Source organism: Homo sapiens, chromosome X, assembly GCF_000001405.40.
Source record: "Homo sapiens chromosome X, GRCh38.p14 Primary Assembly".
Taxonomy (NCBI): domain Eukaryota; kingdom Metazoa; phylum Chordata; class Mammalia; order Primates; family Hominidae; genus Homo; species Homo sapiens.
The window spans coordinates 54,256,036-54,277,600 of NC_000023.11; the positions used below are offsets into that span (position 1 = coordinate 54,256,036).

The 21,565-nt window shown below is 39.5% G+C and overlaps 1 protein-coding gene across 22 annotated transcripts in view; it reads right to left on the minus strand.

The window, feature by feature from the left end:
- WNK3 (WNK lysine deficient protein kinase 3) overlaps positions 1–21,565 on the minus strand; it is a 166,078-nt gene that overhangs the window by 63,213 nt on the left and 81,300 nt on the right. For all 22 annotated transcript variants that reach the window (XM_047442382.1, XM_047442379.1, XM_017029744.2 and 19 more), the window contains exon 11: positions 3,239–3,303. In XM_047442382.1, the coding sequence (XP_047298338.1) occupies positions 3,239–3,303 (65 nt within the window). The remainder of the gene's footprint in view (positions 1–3,238; positions 3,304–21,565) is intronic.

Genomic DNA, 21,565 nt, shown 5'->3' on the forward strand with positions numbered 1-21,565 from the left:
ATACTAAAAGCCATTAAATTACACACTTTAAATGAGTGAATTATATGGTATGTGAATTATATTTCAATAAAGCTTTCTTAAAAAGCTGAAAAATCAAGGTCACACTGTATTTATTTAGCATTTAGCAAACCATCTCACAGTGATGAGAATGAAAGAAAAATATTGCCAGTGATAGACCTCTGTGGAGCCTTTTATTATAGGGTGCTCTTGATCAGTTTTATCTTGTTTGTTTGGTTACTTTATTAATATCTTCAAACAAAACTTCTAAAACCAAAACAAATTATCACTCAAAATATACTTGTTTATGTAATGAACTCAACAGGGTAGACCAGGTATGGGAGACAAGAATAGTGTTCTGCAGGAGGCAGAACAAGATATGAAAATGAATGATGTAAAAATAGCTCAACATTATTAATTCTAATTAGTTACATTTTACAGGTCTACATCAATATTATTATGAAAGGGGAGGCTACCTTTTAGTTTATCTGCGTCAAAGGCATTTTTCAGGTTTTTCTTTAAACTCAAACATATTTCAACAAATACAAAAATTTCAATAAACACGTTTGGAATTTAAATGACAAGCTCTAAGTCTCAGACATCTTTTTGAAATAGATATCTTTCAAGTTAATTTAAGCAAGTTATTTCTCCTAAAAACTACTCATGAAGCATCTATATATAGATGTACAAGAGATAAAAATAACTCCTAAATTTTTTATGTCCATATGACGTATGACATAAATATAAGTAGTGGAAGAAGATACATTAATACTGCCCTTAAGAGTTTTTTAAATACACAGAGAAATGGCAGTAACAAGTAATCAGAGGATAAAAGGAATATAATTTTAGCCAATGGGCTATATCATTCACATTCCAAAGTTACTTAACACATCAGTTTAGGGTTTGGGACAAGATGGCAGAAACTCAACTCTCCCTGCTCCTCCCCTCTAAGTACAGCTAAAAGTTCTAGAAATAATGTAGTAGACAATGACAGGAGGGCACAGAAGAGTGAAAAGATGAAAGCGGACTGGCTGGGGACCCCTAGGACTTGAGTAACATCATAGCAGCTTGGTATCTTCCAATTATCCACCCAGTGAATAAAGGCAGTACAGGCAGTGTCTCCCAATTCCCAGTCCAGAGGCAAAGGCAGCCCAAGCACAGTATCTCCTGATCCCCAACCCAGCAACAGAAGAGGACTTAAGTAGGCCCTGTCCTTCCCCAGTGCCGCTGGTAGGAGCCCCACCAGTAAGTAGAGTATAGCCTGTAGAGCACACCTGGGGGAGCAGGCCTAGGGAAGCACTCTCCACCTCTTGGCCCAGCAGTGGGGGCCAGGGGTTCAGGTGAACAAAACAAACCAGAATAGCAGCACTGTAAGGATTTTGAAAACTAAATTGTCATCAGAATCACGGCCCACAAAAGCAGGCCAGAACCTATGCATCTAAACAAGGGCGACTGCTTGCTAACATAGAAGATTTCAATAGGCCAGGCATGGTGGCTCACGCCTGTAATCCCAGCACTTTGAGAGGCTGAGGTGGGCGGATCACCTGAGGTCAAGAGTTTGAGACCAGCCTGGACAACATGGTGAAACCCTGTCTCTACTAAAATAAGTTAGCTAGGCATGGTGCCATGTGCCTGTAATCCCAGCTACTCAGGAGTCTGAGGCAGGAGAATCGCTTGAACCCAGGAGGTGGAGGCTGCAGTGAGCCAAGATCACGCCATTGCATTCCAGCCTGGGCAACAGAGTAAGACTCTGCCTCAAAAAAAAAAAAAAAAAAAAAAAAAAAGACTTAAATAGGATCTACAGTCACCTGACAATATCCAAACGCCCAGGAGACAAATGAAAATAAACTCCTTTGTCATACCAAAAACTAGAAAAATTACAACTTGAATGCAAAAAGGTAATCAACAGATGCCAACACCAAGATAAGTCAGTTATTGAAATCATCTAACAAGAATAAGATGAGGCTGGGCGCTGTGGTGCACGCCTATAATCCCAGCACTCTGGGAGGCCGAGGCGGGCAGATCATTTGAGCTCAGGAGTTTGAGACCAGCCTGGCCAACATGGTGAAACCCTGTCTCTACTAAAAATACAAAAATTAGCCAGGCGTGGTGGTGCGAGCCTGTAATCCCAGCTACTTGGGAGGCTGAGGCACAAGAATCACTGGAACCCAGGAGGTGGAGGTTGCAGTGAGCCGAAATCGTGCCACTGCACTCCAGCCTGGGCAATAGAGTGAGACTCCATCTCAAAAAAAAAAAAAAAAAAAAGAACAAGATGAATCAGATATTGGAATTATCTAACAAGAATTTTATTTATTTATTTAGACAGAGTCTCACTTTGTCACCCAGGCTGGAATACAGTGGTGCGATGTCAGCTCACTGCAACCTCTGCCTCCTGGATTCAAGCAATCCCCCAGCCCCAGCCTCCCAAGTAGCTGGGATTACAGGCGTACATCACCACACCTGGCTAAATTTTGTATTTTTAGTAGAGGCAGGGTTTCACCATGTTTGCCAGGCAGGTCTTGAACTCCTCACCTCAAGTGATCTGCCTGCCTCAGCCTCCCAAAGTGCTAGGATTACAGGTGTGAGCCACTGCACCCGGCCTCTAACAATAATTTTAGAGCAGCTATCATCAAAATGCTTCAATGAGCAATCACAAATAATCTTGAGGCAAATGAAAAAAAACCAAAATCTTATAAAAGAAATAGAAGATTTTAAGAAGAACCACATAGAAAGTATAGAAATAAACAATCACAGAAAAAAAAAAACACCTCACTGAATAGGCATAATAGTAGAATGAACAGGACAAAGGAAACAATCAATGAACTTGAAGAAAGAACAATAAAGACTATCCAATCTATATTTTTATACAGAAAAATACTAGTTTTCAAGTACTAAATAATAATACAATTAAATATCTAGTTGTAATTTATTTCTTTAGATTAGCTAGAATTCTACTCTAAACTCTATTGTTTCTTCCTTCCTTAACCCTTACCAGCTTTTCCTAGAACAGAATGGTATAAATAAACACAATAAGAAAATGATCAATTAATTTCACAATCCATATGATCCCTACTGACATAAAAAAGCAAAAAAAAAAAAAAAAACTATCGTCTTTATTAAACATCCACACAAGTACAAGAATACAGAAGCTTCTCTAGTCAGGATGCACTAAGCACCTAATGAGTAAACAAACTTCAGCATATCCTCATTGTTCTCATGGTATTAATTTGAAGATACTTACCTTCGAACTAAATCTGGTTTTAGAAGAGCTGCTTGTTGTTCAGCTCCAACTGGTTGGGATACAGGCTGTAAACAGTACAGACATAAAACTTGCTATGATAACAGTAAAATTCAAGCTAAATATACAATTTGTTACTATTCAGAAAACACGATAGTTTTGGTTACCTTGCAAACCTGGTAGAATATCTATGTTATTGAATGTCTGTATCAATCCTATTATTAACATTATTACCAAAGATAAATAAAATTTAACAATACAACAAGTACATCTTATACATGAAGATTTTTCATTTGAAAAAGTTATTACTGTTATATGTACTTTTGTTTTGAGTTATTTTTCAATGGAAGACACTACTATCGAGCTTCCAGTCCTAGTTGTAAGACTACTACTTAAAAGAAGAGGTACTACCATTCTACAAGAAGATAAATCAATGACTCAAGCATTAACTTATTGTGTAGTCTGTCTGTCTGTCTCTCATCTCTTTTCTCTAGACTATTTCAACTATCCCTTCAAGGAATTAGTACTCAGCAGCTGCAACATTGGCTTCCAGGAGAAAAGTGTTTAAGCTCTTAATAGGGCAAATACCAATTCTACTGGAAAATAATTTTACATTTACCTAATCCATCCTCTATGCACTGCCACTAGTGATAGCAGAGTGATCTTAGAATGCAAATCTAACAAAACTGATAATTTCCTTACCCAGTTTAAACCCTATATGATGGTGCCTCATCTTCTATAAGATTAAGGTCCTTCAGATGGCAAATAATGTTCTCAATGAACTGGCCTATACCTGATTATCTAGCCTTATCTCTCTGTTTGAAGCCACGCTAAACTGTAGCTCCTCTGTATAAATTAGGCTCTTCTGCATATTGTGACTCTACTTATATTCCTCCACTTCCCTAAACTATTTCAAACTATTTCATCATTCTAATCAACCCATACTGAGAAATTTTTTCCTGCATAAATTAGACTAGCTTCTAATTATAGATTAGTTAATTAGCTCTTTAACATAATTACTGTTTAAACATTGAGAGCAAATATTTCGGCAAATAGTGTTTTTGTACACTTAAGATTCAACAAAATGTATCTAATTTAACTAATGTTTGTACAGTCCCCGTAAGTTGGAACAGCAACTGGCATCCTAATGCATAAATCCAGAGACAAGTGTATGTACTAATCAAAGAGAAACAAAACATAGCTACTATACAATAATATGGAAATATATTTTATAATCACTTGCAATTATTAATGGGGTTATTAATGCTACTTTGTGCTGGTGCTCAGAATCATGGCTAATGTTTGGTTTATCTGCCTTCATATCTGATAGGTACAAGTTAAGCTCTGTCATAATATTTCTAAAGGTTTCAAAATTAATATTTACAAATAGGTGCTGGGCCATTTTTGCAGATGTCTTTCAAATTTAATGAAATGTTTCATTTTTACTTTCATTTGTTTGTTTTTTGTTTTGAGATGGAGTCTCGCTCTGTCACCCAGGCTGGAGTGCAGTGGCGTGATCTTGGCTCACTGCAACCTCCACCTCCTAGGTTCAAGTGATTCTCCTGTCTGAGCCCCCGAGTAGCTGGCACTACAGGCGCGTACCACCACACCCGGCTATTTTTTTTTTTTTTGTATTTTTAGTAGAGATGGGGTTTCACCATGTTGGCCAGGCTGGTCTCGAACTCCTGACTTCAAGTGATCCACCTGCCTTGGCCTCCCAAAGTGCTAGGATTACAGCCGTGAGCCACCACGCCTGGCCCATTTTCACTTTTGTTTAAAACTGCAGCCAGCCCTTTTATCTGTGGATTCCACATGCATGGGTTCATCCAATCTTGGATTGAAAATGTAATATTCTGCCTGGGCATGGTGGCTCACACCTGTAATCCCAGCACTTTGGGAAGCCAAGGCAAGAGGAATGCTTGAGCCCAGGAGTTTGAAGTTACAGTGACCTATGATTACACCACTGCAGTCCAACCTGGGACCCTGTCTTAAAAAAAAGAAAAAGAAAAAGACAAGACAAGACAGGACAGTATTTTCAGGATTCAGAACCCTTGGATATGGAGGGCTGACTTCATGTGTGTGATTCCACAGGGCCAACTGTAGGGCTTAGCATCCTTGGATTTTGGTATCCAAGAAAAGTCCTGGAACCAATCCCCTACAGATACCAAAGGACGATTGTACTATAGTGTTGCATATTGATATAATGATGACCTACCCTAAGATTATCAGATTTGAGGCTTGGTAAGTCTGTTTGTACAAAGTTGAATTTATTTTTTTCTTATTACCAAAGCAAGATGAATATAGATAAGCTTGTTTAACACCTTGGTGTATATTCTTTGAGACCATTTTCTGTACACAAACACACACACACACACACGTTTTTAATGTAATCATAATGTATGTACTCTTTTATAATCTTCTTTTTACTGAAAACATCTTAAGTGTTTAAGAACATGTTAAGGGCTACATAATATCCTTTAGTGTAAACATACCATTATTTATTTAATGGTGCAAGTAAGGGAGACAAACATCTAATTTTTTTGCTATTTGCAACTATATTTCATATTGTGAGGAACATTCTTGTAGCCAAATCTTTGTATGCATTCTTAATTATTTCCTTAGGAAGCCTTTCTAAAAATGGAATTGCTAGACATTTTTAAGGCTTGATATATATTGCCAAATTGCCCTTCAGAAAGGTCTAACCAGTTTACAGTCCTACCAGAGGTTTGTGAAAGTATCCATTTTCCTCTACATTTGGTATTTGCTATCCTATAAAAATGTTTAATTATTAAATGTATATAACATTATAAAATGTAGGAAAATGGGAAAAATCACCTAGAATGCTGTTTTCCTAACATGGCTGTGATTATAATATTTGTTTCAATACTATAGGCTTTTGTCATGTGTATAAATGGTTGTAATTATACAGTTTTTTCTGCTTTTTAAAATGTATTAAGTATTTTTCCTTACCTTTATTGGCCTGCATTACTTCAGTTTTTAATGGGCACATGATAGGACAATAAGTATTCATATTTATCTAACTCCTCCCCTATTCCTGGATAACTAACTTACTGCCAATTTTATTACATATAAATAAAAATACAGCAAAAATACAGAGATAGCTAACATTCACTATGAAACAAGCGTTGTAGTATGTGCTTTTTGCTTCCTTTTTATTATTTTCTTCAGATTTATTTCCAGGATTGGCAATATCAGATCATGAACATTTTTATGGCACAGTTTTTCTTCCTATGTCACCCTTTCCTTTCTTATTTCTACCTTCACACATTTATTGGAAACCTAGTGTGTAGCAGGCACTGTGCTAAGAGGCAGTGAGGATACAAAATGAATCTGATGGAGTCCCTGGAGTCAAACATTAAACATATATAATAAAGAGTGGGCTGGGCGCAGTGGCTCACATTGGGAGGCTGCACTTTGGGAGGCTGAGGTCAGAAGTTTGAGACCAGCCTGACCAATATGGAGAAATCCCATCTCTACTAAAAATACAAAAATTAGCTGGGTGTGGTGGCATGCACCTGTAGTCCCAGCTACTCAGGAGGCTGAGGCAAGAGAACTGCTTGAACCTGGGAGGTGGAGGTTCCAGTGAGCTGAGATTGAGCCATTGCACTCTAGCCTGGGTGACAAGAGTGAAACTGTCTCAAAAAAAAAAAAAAAAAAGAAAAGAAAAGTAGATACAGCTACTTCTGCTGGGGCAGGAGCAGGGAATCAATCTTGGTTATATTCTTGAGGCTCCCCTAACTGGTTCTGAGGTCTTATGTAATGCCAAACCTCGGGAAGGTGTTGAGGAGGATCTTTCTCCTTTACTTGCTCCACCACTCCTCTCCTCCTCCCATTAGTGGTTCTCAGCCCCAGAAGGGGAGATGGGAGGACAAAAGAGATAAAAAGCTAAGCCCATGTACAACATCCCAGAGATTCTTATTCAGTTATTATGGAGTGAAGGAGACCAGTAAAACTGGGATGTACTTTTAAACATTTCATAAATTGCTTTATTATGTTATTGATGTTACAAAGCATATCTCTCCCCTGAAGTACTTTTAACAACCACTATTTGTTGAGTACCTATTACATGCCAGACACTTCTCATATTTTATATCACCTAATCCTAATAAGCCTGCAATACAGGCATTTTTTCTAACATTATAAAAATTTTCCAACACATAGAAAAGTGGAATTGTTCTGTGAAAACCTATATATCTAACACCACCCATAGTCTACAGGATTTTACTATATGTACATTATCCCATATATTTCAAAGTAGGTTGCAAATGCAAGATAGGCATTTTAAAACTTTTACAACCATTTAAAACCATTTCACACTAAAAAGAACCAAAGCTGGGCGAGATTAAATAACTTTCCTCAAGTCACACAGTGAGTTCAAAGAGCCAGAGTTGAAATCCAGGTCTGACCAATGACACAAATTGGCTCAAGCCTATATGTATGCTGTATATACCTGGTTAACAGTGGAATTTTTGCTTATTTAATTAAATAAAATTATCACTGTGCATGATGCCCACTTCCATATTTTTATATTTATATAGAATTCTTCATCTATAAAGACGTTGTCTTGTATAAGGCCAATTGTTGGTGAAGGCAAGATTCTAAACATTTTTTTTTTGAGACAGGGTCTCACTCTGTTGCCCAGACTGGAGTACAGCCCCAACCTCCCAGGCTCAAAGTGATTCTCCCAGTTCAGCCTCCTGAGCAGCTGAGACTACAGGCATGTGCCACCACACCTGGCTAATTTTTTTAAAAAAAATTTGGGCCAGGTGTGGTGGCTCATGCCTATAATCCAGCACTTTGGGAGGCTGAGGCAGGCGGATCACCTGAGGTCAGGAGTTGGAGACCAGCCTGGCCAACAGGGTGAAGCCCTGTCTGTACTAAAAATACAAAAATTAGCCAGATGTGGTGGCACATGACTGTAATCCCAGTTACTTGGGAGGCTGAGGCACGGGAATTGTTTGAACCCGGGAGGTGGAGGTTGCAGTGAGCCATGATTGTGCCACTGCACTCCAGCCTGGGTGACAGAGTGAGACTGTCTCAAAAAAAAAAAATTGGTAGACATGGGGGTGTCAGTGTGTTGCCCAGGTTGGTCTCGAACTCCTGGGCCCAAGCAATCCTCCTGCCTTGACCTTCCAGAGTGCTGGGATTACAGGTACGAGCCACCGTGCCAGGCCTGAACGATGAAATTTACCCTAAGTTAAAAAACTGATCCAAAAGCACGGTTCCTGGGATAAAACTCACATAATGACATCCAGCCTATTACATAGGCCAAAATGATGAAAACATACCAGCACTACAAAGACTGACACATAAAAGAGTGATAGGAACTATGAGAGATGAAAGAGTGATAGGAACTAGGAAGAAGTTCCATTAACTGTAAGGCAGATAGAACTGAATTGAGGGGAGCCTAACTTCATGAAAGCAGACTTAAATTCCAAACTTTTATTCTAATACTGCCCCGTTAAGTGATCAAAGGTCTGTAAGAACTAACAAACTGATCAGGCACAGTCTTGCCTCAGCCCTGCAAAGCTTTCTACAGATATTTGGAAAGAGCAACTAACATTTTTTTTTTTTTTAATGGCAAGAATGAGAATGCATACTGGAGAAGAAAAGGAGAGGACAGACTGAGCCATTTCGCAGTCTGGAAGGTAGAGATCTTATAAGTAAAGCCAAATGAGCAAGGATGCAGACACATTTTGGCAGCCCTGCATGTTGGAGATCATAGTCTTTAAAGTATTTGATTATTTCAGAACATTGGATAATTCATTATGGGAGTAAAAAAAGTAAACCACACTTCAGTACAGAAGAACCAGAATAAATCAATGCTTACTAATACACAGAAAGTGTGCATCTCCTTGTCCTCAAGCTATAGGCCTATGAAAGGGTTTAATCATCATTCAAGAGGAAAATGGGGCGGGGTGTGGGTGGCTCATGCCTGTAATGCCAACACTTTGGGAGGCTGAGGCAGGCGAATCATTTGAGGTGAGGAGTTCAAGACTAGCCTAGCCAATATGGTAAAACCCCGTCTCTAGTGAAAGTACAAAAATTAGCCGGGCGTGGTGGCATGTGCCTGTAATTCCAGCTACTTGGGAGGCTGAGGCAGGAGAATCGCTTGAACCTGGGAGGCAGAGGTTGCAGTGAGCCGAGATTGCGCAACTGCACTCCAGCCTGGGTGACAGAGCGAGACTCCGTCTGAAAAAAAAGAGGAAAACGGAAGTCAAAGAAAATCTACATGAGGTCAGAGAGTTGTGCAGGGGAGTCCAGATCCTGTAGGACTTTGCAGGCCATTAGTACATTATTGTGGCTTTTACTATCAAAGAGATGAGCAACGAGAGGTTGTGGGTCTCTGAGACATGTTGTGACCTGCATTTTAAAACTATCACTGCTTCCTACAATAAGAAAAAGGCTACAAAAGAACAAAAGCAAAAGCAAGAACAATTAGGAGACTACTACAATTATTCAAGAGATGAGGCTGGGCACAGTGGCTCACGCCAGTAATCCCAACACTTTGGAAGGCCAAGGCAGGCAGATCACTTGAGGTGAGGAGTTCGAGACCTGCCTGGCCAACATGGTGAAACCTGGTCTCTACCAAAAATACAAAAAGTAGCCAGATGTGGTGGCGGGTGCCTGTACTCCCAGCTACCTGGGAGGCAGAGGCTGCAGCGAGCCGAGATCGTGCCACTGCACTCCAGCCTGGACAAGACAGCGAAAAAAAAAAAGAGCTGAATTAGACCAGCACGACAATGGTGAAGGTGTTGAGAAGTCAGGATGCAGATATATGTTAAAGTAAGAGTCAAATCAAATATACACAACAGAGCACTATGCAGCAATAAACAAGAATGAGATATTGTCATAGATGGAACTGGAGGTCATTATATGAAGTGAACAATAAGCCAGGCACAGAAAGATGAACTTGGCATGTTCTCACTTATGTGTGGGAGCTAAAAATTATAACAATTGAACTCATAGAGATAGAAAGTAGAAGGATGGTTACCAGAGGCTGGGAAGGGTAGTGGGGAGAGTCAGGAGGGGAGTGGGGAAGGTTAATGGGTACAAAAATTAATCAGAAAAACTGAATAAGATCTAGTATTTAATAGCACAAGTCAACTATAGTTGATAATTTAATTGTACATTAAAAATAATTAAGAGTATAATTAGATTGTAACACAAAGGATAAATGCTTGAGGTGATAGATACCCCATTTACCCTGATGTGATTATTATGCATTGTATGCCTGTATCAAAATATCTCTTTTTATTCTTTTGAGACAAGGTCTTGCTCTGTCAGCCAGGCTGAAGTGCAATAATGTGATTAAGACTCACTGCAGCCTTGATCTCTCAGGCTCAAGCAATACTCCCACTTCAGCCTCCTGAGTCGCTGAGACTACAGGCATGGGCCACCATGCCCAGCTAACTTTTAATTTATTTATATATATATATATAATTTTATTTACTTTATGTTCTGGGATACATGTGCTGAACGTGCAGGTTTGTTACATAGGTATACATGTGCCATGGTGGTTTGCTGCACCTATCAACCTGTCATCTAGGTTTTAAGCTCCGCATGCATTAGGTATTTGTCCTAATGCTCTCCCTCCCCTTTCCCCACATCCCCCGACAGGTCCCGGTGTGTGATGTTCCCCTCCCTGTGTCCATGTGTTCTCATTGTTCAACTCCCACTTATGAGTGAGAACATGCAGTGTTTGGCTTTCTGTTCCCGTGTTAGTTTGTTGAGGATGATGGTTTCCAGCTTCATACATGTGGGTATCTACCAAAAGGATTATAAATCATTCTACTATGAAGACACATGCACACGTATGTTTACTGCAGCACTATTTACAATAGCAAAGACTTGGAACCAACCCAAATGCTCATCAATGATAGACTGGATAAAGAAAATGTGGCATGTATACACCATAGGAAACTATGAAGCCATAAAAAAGAATTTTTTCTTTTTGGTAGAGACAGGATTTCGCCATGTTGCCTTGGCTGGTGTCAAACTTCTCGGCTCAAGTGATCCTCCTGCCTTGGCCTCCCAAAGTGCTGGGATTACAGGGGAGAGCCACCATCCCCAGGCCTAAAATATCTCATGTCCCCCATAAATATATGCACCTGCTATTTACCCACAAAAATTTGTAAAAAGAGTCAAAAGACATGCTGATAGTTTGAAGTGGAATATGAGAGAAAGCAAAGAATAAAAGATGACCATAGCTAACTGAGTGTGGTGGCTCACACCTATAATCCCAGCACTTTGGGAGGCCGAGGTGGGGGGATCACTTGAAGTCAGGAGTTCGAGACCAGCCTGGCCAACATGGTGAAACCCCATCTCTACTAAAAATACAAAAATTAGGCGGGCATGGTGGTGTGTGCCTGTAAGTGCCTGTAATCCCAGCTACTTGGGAGGCTGAGGCAAGAGAATCACTTGAACCCGGGAGGCGGAGGTTGCAGTGAGCCAAGACAGCACCACTGCACTCCAGCTTGGGTAACAGAGCGAGACTCTCTCAAAAAAAGAGCAACAACAACAACAAAAAAACCATAGCCATATGGCTTGAGTAAGGAAAGACAGAGTTGCTATTTGTTGAGATGGGGATGACAGTGAAAAGAGCAGGCTTGGGGTGGTGGAAAGTGCAAATGTAAGTGTTCGATTTTGGATATACTTAATTTGAAACGTCATTATACAACCAAGTGGAGATCTTGCATGTACACTGGAGATACATGGCAAAAAATATATAAATTCTCTCCTAGAACACAAAGTCAAAAGCAAAGTCACCTAAGATATCTGAATGCGTGCACACACACACACACACACACACACACACACACACACACACACACACTTCCTAGCCTGTCTGCTGAGAACTCTAGAAGCAATAACTCCCCAGTAGCAGCAAACACACCCAATACTCAGGCTTTTTTTCTAAATTACATTACCCACTAAAAGGAATAAGGGGGAGGCTGAGGCGAGGGGATCGCTTGAGCCCAGGAGTTGATGACCAGCCTGGGCAACTGAGCAATACCTCGCCTCTACAAAAAATAAAAACTAAAAAAATTAACTGGCCGTGGTGGCACATGCATATAGTCCCAGCTATTTGGGAGGCTGAGATGGGAGGATTATTTGAGCCCAGGAGCCAGGTTGAGGCTGCAGTGAGCCATGATCTTGCCACTGGCACTCCACCTTGAGTGACAGAGCAAGACCCTGCCTCAAAAAAATTTTTAAAAATGCAAATAAATCAATAAATTAAAGGAATCAGAACTCCATGGAGAAATAGCTGGATTCCAGGGTAGGGGCAGGGAAAAGACAAAATGAGCCTGGAATATCTGTCTTGCTGTGGCCAGAAAATAAGGAAGTGTTCAAAGAATGATGGGAAAATGTCAAAAGGACACAAATGCTACCATGAATGGTCCCCCAAATCTAGGGCATTTTAACCATCTAAATAAATAATGATAGTATTATACTATAACCTAGTAAATAAAATAAGGTCCCCATGAGTTCATACTAACATAAATAAATAAATAAATGAGGGAGAATGGCCAACTAATAAAGAGGAATGATGGAGCTAGAAAATCATAAATGGATGCTAAAACTAGTAAGTGAAAGGGATATTTACATAGCTTCAAAATATCTCCCCACAAATAACTCATAAACTATAAGGGAAGAAACGATAACTTTACAGTAGAGAAGCTTGGCAGGCCCCACTTGAACCAAGTAATAAAAGTTAACTTCACCAATATTGGGACAAACTGGCATTACTTCTATTATGATGCACTGATAAGAAGACAACATCACTCACACAGTATTCCTGCCAAGAATGCATTATCTGAATATAATCATGAGGAAACTTCAAACAAACCCAAACTGAGAGACATTCTATAAAAAAAAACAACTGGCCTCTGCATTGCAATACTGTCAAGAAAGACAGAAAAAGGTTGAAGAATCGCTCAAAATTAAAACAGACTAAATACAAAAATTAAAAGATTTGAATAGGCACTTCACCAAAGAAGGTATTTGAATCTCTAATAATTATATGAAAAAACACTCAACATCATTATTTATCAGGAAAATGCAAGTTAAAAACCACAATATATAACCACATCAAACTCATCAAAACAGCTAAAATTTAAACAACTGACAACAGATAAGGATGCAGAGTAAATGGAAGTCTCATACATTGCCAGCGGGAACGTATTTCAGTACAATAGCTTTGGAAAACTGTCTGGCAATATAAGGTATGGCTAAAACTACCCTTATTCTGTGACCTAACAATCCCATTCCTAAGTATATACACAAGAGAAATGAGTGCATATATTCACCAAAAAATATACAGGAAAGCTCACAGCAGCTTTATCCATAAGAGCCAAAAACTAGAACCAATCCTAATGTACATGGATAGGAGAATGGATAACTGAATCATGATATATTCTACAACAGAACAACTACCAGCAATGAAACAAACTATTGATACATGCAACAATGTAGATGAATCTCGGTGAACTTTCTAGGGGGCTGGAAGTGTTCTATATCTTCATTTGCATTTCATGAAGATATATATATATGAACACTCATCAAACTGTACATTTAGGATACCTTAATGAATGTATATACCTTTGTAAAAAAAAATTTGAAGAACAGCTGGTATGATTCAATTCTGATAAAATACCACACATTTTTCATACACACATAGCATGGAAAATGTCTAGAAAAACTACAAAAGTTTTGTTTTTGAGAGGTAGGATCATAGGTAACTTTAACTTTCTTTATACATTTCTGTACTTTAAAAAGTATTTATGAGAAGAAAAGTTATTTTTAAAAAGCTCCTTTTTTGTGTCTGTGTGAGATGGAGTTTTGCTCTTCTTGCCCAGGCTCGAGTGCAACAGCGTGATCCCGGCTCCCTGCAACCTCCGCCTCCCAGGTTCAAGCGATTATCCTGCCTCAGCCTCCTGTGTAGGTAGGACTACAGGCATGCACCACCACGCCCAGCTAATTTTGTATTTTTAGTAGAGATGGGGTTTCTCCACGTTGGTCAGGCTGGTCTTGAACTCCCGACCTCAGGCCCACCTCGGCCTCCCAAAGTACTGAGATTACAGGCGTGAGCCACAGCGCCCGGCCTCTTTTTTTTTTTTTTTTTTCTTTGAGACAGAGTTTCTTTCTTGTTGCCCAGGCTGGAGTGCAATGGCGTGGTCTTGGTTCAATGCAACTTCCACCACTGGGTTCAAGCGATTCTCCTGCCTCACCCTCCCAAGTAGCTGGGATTACAGGCACCTGCCACCACACCTGGCTAATTTTTTTTTTTTAATTTTAAGTTCTGGGATACATGTACAGAACGTGCAGGTTTGTTACGTAGGTATACATGTACCATGGTGCTTTGCTGCACCTATCAACCCGTCATCTAGGTTTTAAGCTCCGCATGCATTAGGTATTTGTCCTAATGCTCTCCCTCCCCTTTCCCCCGACCCCTCAACAGGCCCGGTGTGTGATGTTCCCCTCCCTGTGTCCATGTGTTCTCATTGTTCAGCTCCCACTTATGAGTGAGAACATGCGGTGTTTGGTGTTCTGTTCCTGTGTTAGTTTGCTGAGAATAATAGCTTCCAGTTTCATCCATGTCCCTGCAAAGGATATGAACTCATTCTTTTTTATGGCTGCACGCCTGGCTAATTTTTTTGTATTTTTAGTAGAGACACAGTTTCACCATGTTGGCCAGGCTGGTCTTGAACTCCTGACCTCAGGTGATCTGCCCGCCTTGGCCTCCCAAAGTGCTGGGATTACAGGCGTGAGCCACTGCGCCCAGCCTAAAAAGCTATTTTTATGTGAGGAAATAAAAGATCCATACCAAGACATATAAAAGATGTATGCCATACCCAAAGAATTCTGAAAATTAAAAAAATATATATACCAAACTTTTTACTTATAAAGATAAAGAATACCACCTATAAGCACTTAGGAGGAAAAGGGAACAAAAAAAATCAGACAGGCCTAGGCTTCTCTTCTGAAGCATTAGCTAGAAGAAGACAAAAGAACAAAATATGTAGATGGGAAAAAAAGACTGTAAACTGATTTTTTTTTAATGCCTAACAAGTTTTTGTTCATGTGTGAATGTAAATGAAACGTCAGTTTCGGATATCCAAAGAATCAGAAATTTCAAACCCAAGTAACTTTGAAAAATTACACAAAGCCATTCTTCAAACTACACAGGTACTTAGCAAAATTTAAAAATCAAGAATAGAGAATATGTGGTATAAAAACTGGTGATCTATACTAAAACCAATAGTTAATATTGAGTCCAAATTGTTAGAATTGTAGTTTCAAAATTGAATGTACACATATAAATCAAGAATATAACATGTATAATATGATAAAATTATTTTAAAAAGCTTTCATAATTGCTATCCTCCCAAAACAACAGTTTGCCTTTTTCTTAAATACCTTATCATGGTAATCCGCAAATAATCAGTCTTTTAGCTCATTCAACCAACCTCCCAAATTGAAGAGTTCAACTGTGCTGCTATTTACGAAGCTGGCTCCTTCCTGGAAAAATGAGATCAATCTGAAAGGTTCTCCCCACTTCAACATCTTCAGTATTCTAACTGATTTACATTACAAAAGGGAGAGGGCTGAATAATGTCACTGGAAATCAATCCAAATGACTAATGTCCTTATTATTACCAGTTTCAACAATATGAATAGATACAAAGCAATACATGCCTTTTGGGAACACTTTTTGACAATGTTCAGCAAACACACCCACTGTTTAAACTGATTTCCCTTCAATTAGAATAAAGCAATTTCACATAAATACAATACTGTGCTAAATAGCATTTTTACAGAAATAGTCTGATTCCCTGGAAACTAGAATATCTCTCTAGAGAAATCAGTTATAACTTTCTCGATTTTTACACAAATATTTCCATGTAATGGAATTAACTACTTTATAGAGGAAGCTACAGTGAAGATTAAACGAAATGACACTGCTTGATACATAGCAGGTCCTCAAAAAATGTCAACTCCCTAACTATAAGTTTCACTCCATTAGAATGCCTCAGACTCAGCTACCTGGGAGGCTGAGGCAGCAGGATCACTTAAGCCCAGGAGTTCGAGGCTGCAATAAGCTATGATAGTGCCACTGCACTAGGTGACAGAGTGAAACCGTATCTCAAAAGAAAAAAAAAAGGATGAAAAAAGAGGGTGGGAAGAAGGGAGGGAGGAAGGAAGTAAGGAAGGCAGCCAGCTAGTCTCAGAAACTGGTTACATAATAAAATGGTCATTACCAGAATACAGGTGTGGAGTGTTTTAATAATATTCACTCACAGTAGGCCCATGGATATTTCTGAACAAACTGAACGTAGAGAATCTTTTGCCAATTAATGTCAGTGTTATACACATCAACAGAGTCCATTCTTCATATAGTTTCTGTACTGTTTTGTAAGCACTAAAAGAATAGAAATGTCACCAGAAACAAAGCCAATTTCTTAAAACCACTGATAACCACAGTAACTATATGGGTCTAAAACATACCATGGCTAGAATTAAGATAAAGACTGAAGTATAAAGATATTACCTTCACTGATTAAGAAACTGGAATTAACAAAGCAAATGATTCCATTGGCTAAGCTATGAATAGTAGTAAAATAGAAAATAGAACCACAATTTCTAGAGTAATCTTACAAATACACAACTCAGCTATGCTAATATGTAGATTTAGCCATGAAAACAAGTAATACATAACCTTTCAATGACTCCTCATGCATTCAAAGTCTGAAATCTGGCCAATCCAGTCAGTACTTATGAAAACAATATCAACAAAAACCTGAATGAAACCCCTGCTTCTAGTTGTCAACGCTAGATATTTGCAACAACAAAATCACTAAGTTATTTTCCCTTTTAATGTCAATCCACATTATTCATGTAGATAAGAGAAATTCTGTGACTGAATCAATATGGTAACAACGAACGTATACATCTGTCTTACCAACTACCTAATACTCTAGAAAGCAACAGAAATTATTACTTTAAAAACCTAGAATTGGCCGGGTACGGTGGCTCACGCCTGTAATCCTAGCACTTTGGGAGGCCGAGGCGGGTAGATCACTACAGGTCAGCAGTTTGAGACCAGCCTGGCCAACATGATGAAACCCTGTCTCTACTAAAAATACAAAAATTAGCCAGGAATTGCTTGAACCCGGAAGGCGGAGGTTGCAGTGAGCCAAGATTGTGCCACTGCACTCCAGCCTGGGCAACAGAGCGAGACTCCCATCTTAAAGCAAAAAACAAAAACTAGAATAAAGTCATAACATCCCAGAAAAACTAAAAAGAATGCCATCCACAGACCATAAATGGTAAAGAACCTTCCAAAAGAACAGAAACCAATAGATCACATCCATGGGGAACAAAATATATGGAAACCAAAGCTTCAAACGCACATATAGGAGAAAACTATTGCAAAGTTAGGAGTGATTTGGGGAAGCTCTAAAACTACTCAATGGATACCAGAAGATTGCCTGGCTTTGGGGAATTCATCTGGGAGATTAAATGATATGGTGAATTAACAGCAGCTAGGCTAGGCAATCCTATCCTCTCCTAACCCCTCATTATGCTAAATAGTGAGCAGCAAGGAAATTTGCCCAAAAACTCAAGGTAGAGCCTGAGAGGAAGAACAAATCTACAGGTAACAAACTACTAAGAAAACGTGCTCCCAACACAACTTGTCTCTCCTCTACAGTAACTGGCAGCAAGGCAGGCTACTGTAAGTAAACAAATCAGACAGGTGAACAGGACCCTTAAATATGACTGAATAAAAAACCAAGAATCACCAAATCCTTGAGAAACACTAAAACTTAGAAAAAAAAGAAGCACCAAACTCAACAAAGAGATTAACTCTTTAATTAACTTCAAGAGGATCCTTAATGCTGCCTGGCAATCTCACTACATTTCCCTTGTTCATTCATTCTACTACCATTCTTCTATGTAACTATTTAATACTTTTGCTTCCATCATTAAACTTCTAATACACACTCCCTCCCCTAACTTCATTCTCAGCTGATGACATTGCTTCCATTTCACTGAGAAAATAAAAAAGGCAACAAAAAGATAATTTCCATAACATCCACCCACCTAAATAGCATTTATGGCCATAATCTCTACCTTCACGCTTATTATTATGGACAACTGTACTCCTATGCTAAGGCCAACCCCTCTATGTAGAAACTAAATGTCATCTCCTCTCATCTTCTCAAGGACATCACTACGGTAATTTTTTTCCTATTTCAAGAAATTTTCCCTCATTCCTAAATCATTCTTCCTATAAATGAGATTATTTCTCCATGAAAACAAACCCTCTCAACCAGAGCTCACTGGAGATGACTGATTATAAAGCTGGGGCAAGGAAGAATAGGATAGGTCTGGAACATCTTCTTGTGTACAGATAAGTTCAAAGATGATGGGAGCTGATGGTGGCTAATGCCTATAATCCCAACACTTTGGGAGGTTGATGCAGGAGGACTGCTTGACGCCAGGAGTTTGAGACCAGCCTGGGCAATATAGCAAGACTCCATCTCTACAAGAAAACAAAAACAACAAAAGGCTGGGCATGGTAGTACATGCCTAGAGTCCCAGCTACTTGTGAGGCTGAGGTAGGAGGATTGCTTGAGCTCAGGAGGTTGAGGCTACAGTAGACCATGACTGAGCCACTGCACTCCAGCCTGGGTGACAAAGCAAGACCCTGTCACATAAAAAAAAAAAAAAAAAAAAGGTCGGGCCTAGTGGCTCACGTCTGTAATCCCAGCACTTTGGGAGGCCGAGGCAGGGAAGATCACTTGAGGTCAGGAGTTTGAAACCAGCCTGGCCAACATGGTGAAACCTCGTCTCTACTAATAATACAAAAATTAGCCAGGTGCGGTGGTAGGCAGCTGTAATCCCAGCTACTTGGGAGGCTGAGGCAGGAGAATCGCTTGAACCTGGGAGGCGGAGGTTGCAGTGAGCTGAGATCGCACCATTGCACTCCAGCCTGGGCGAGAGAGTGAGACTCCGGCTCAGAAAAAAGTGGGAGTGGTAAACAGATCTAAATGGAACTCAGATTTCAATATTTTACTAGAGGTGGTAAAATGTCGGTATCTGTAGGGTATAAGTTCATATGTGTGTGTGTGTGTGTGTGTGTGTGTGTGTGTGTGTGTGTGTGTGTGTGTGTGTGTATGGATACCTTAGAGCAACCACTAAGAAAACTGTACAGTATAATATACTCAAAACAGTATAAATAAAACAAGAAGTTCATGACCAAGCAAAAGAAAACCAAGAAGGAATCCTAAAAAATTTCAAATAACCCACAGGTGGGTAAGAAAAGAGAAGCATAAGAAGGAGAAACATAGAGAAGAAACAAAATGCAAATACTAACATGATAGACTTAAATCCTAGCATATCAAAAATTACTTTGAATGCAAAACAGTCTAAATATGCCAATTAAGAGACATTGACAGAAGGGATAAAAAACATGGATAAACATTAACTATACACTTTCTACAAGAAACTCACTTGAAACATAGGATAGGCTGAAAGTAAAAGGATGGAAAAATATATCATGTTGACATTAAGCAATAAAAAGCAGCAGGGAGTACATAATATCAGATAAAGTTGACTTCACAGGAAAGAAAATTACAAGAAATGAAGAGGGATATAATATAATGATAAAAAGATCAATCCACTAAAAAGACATAGCCATCCTAAACGTGGATGCACCAAATAAGAGCTTCAAAACAGAAGTAAAAAAAAATGACTGTGTAGGCTGGGCGCGGTGGCTCACATCTATAATCCCAGCACTTTGGGAGGCTGAGGCGGGTGGATCACCTGAGGTCAGGAGTTCGAGACCAGCCTGGCCAACATGGCAGAAACTCGTCTCTACTAAAAATACAAAAATTAGCTGGGCATGGTGGTGCACGCCTGTAATCCCAGCTACTCAGGAGGCTGAGACAATTGCTTGAACCCAGGAGGCGGAGGTTGCAGTGAGCCAAGATTGTGCCACTGAACTCCAGCCTAGGTGACAGAGCGAGACTCTGTCTCAAAAACAAACAAACAAACAAAAAAAAACAAATTACTGCGTTAAAAGGAGAAATACATATATCTACAATTATACTTAGAAACTTCAACACCTCACTCTCAGCAATTAATAATAGAAAATTAACAAAGACATAAAACTGAACTACAAATCAGTATCTGTCATGAACTTAAGGTTCAAAAATCTTCAACAAAGTATTAGTAAAGTGAATCAAACAATGTATGCAAAGAATCATATGCCATGACCAAATGAGTTTATTCCAAGGACATGAAGGCTGTTTCGATATTTGAAATCCATGTCATCCACTATATATCAACAAGTAAAAAAAAACAAAACCATATAATCATATCATTAACACAGAAGAAACATCTGAAAAAGGCAACATTCCTTTTTTTTTTTTTTTGAGAAGGAGTCTCGCTCTGTCACCCAGGCTGAAGTACAGTGGCACGATCTCAGCTCACTGCAACCTCCACCTCCCAGGTTCAAGCAATTCTCCCTGCCTCAACCTCCCGAGTGGCTGGGATTACAAGCACCCACTACCACGCCCGGCTAATTTTTGTATTTTTTAGTAGAGACAGGGTTTCGCCATGTTGGCGAGGCTGTTATTGAACTCCTGATTTCAGGTTATCCACCTGTCTCGGCCTCCCAAAGTGCTGGGATTACAGGTGTTAGCCACCGCGCCTGGCCAACATTAATTCATAATAAAACTTCTCAGTGAGTCAGGTAATAGAGGGTAACTACCTCAACTGGATAAAGAGCATCTATAAAAAATCTGTAGCTCATATCATACTAATGGTGAAAGACTTGTCCCCCCTAAGACTCGGAACAAAGCAAGGAAGTTCATTCTCACCACTCTTATTCAAGACAGTACATTCTCACCACTCTTATTCCAGTACAGTACTGGAAATTCTAGCCAGCACAATAAAAGGAAAATAAGAAATAAAAAGCATACAGATTAGAAAGGGAGAGATCACACTGTCTCTATTTTAGGAGATTATATGATTTTCTTTTTTTCTTTTTTTTTTTTGAGACGGAGTCTTGCTCTATTGCCAGGCTGGAGTGAGGTGGTACGATCTCGGCTCACTGCAACCTCCGCCTCCTGGGTTCAAGGGATTCTCCTGCCTCAGTCTCCCGAGTAGCTGGGACTACAGGCACGTGCCACCACGCCCAGCTAATTTTTGTATTTTTAGTAGAGACGGGGTTTCACCATGTTGGCCAGGATGGTCTCAATCTCTTGACCTCATGATCTGCCTGCCTCAGTCTCCCAAAGT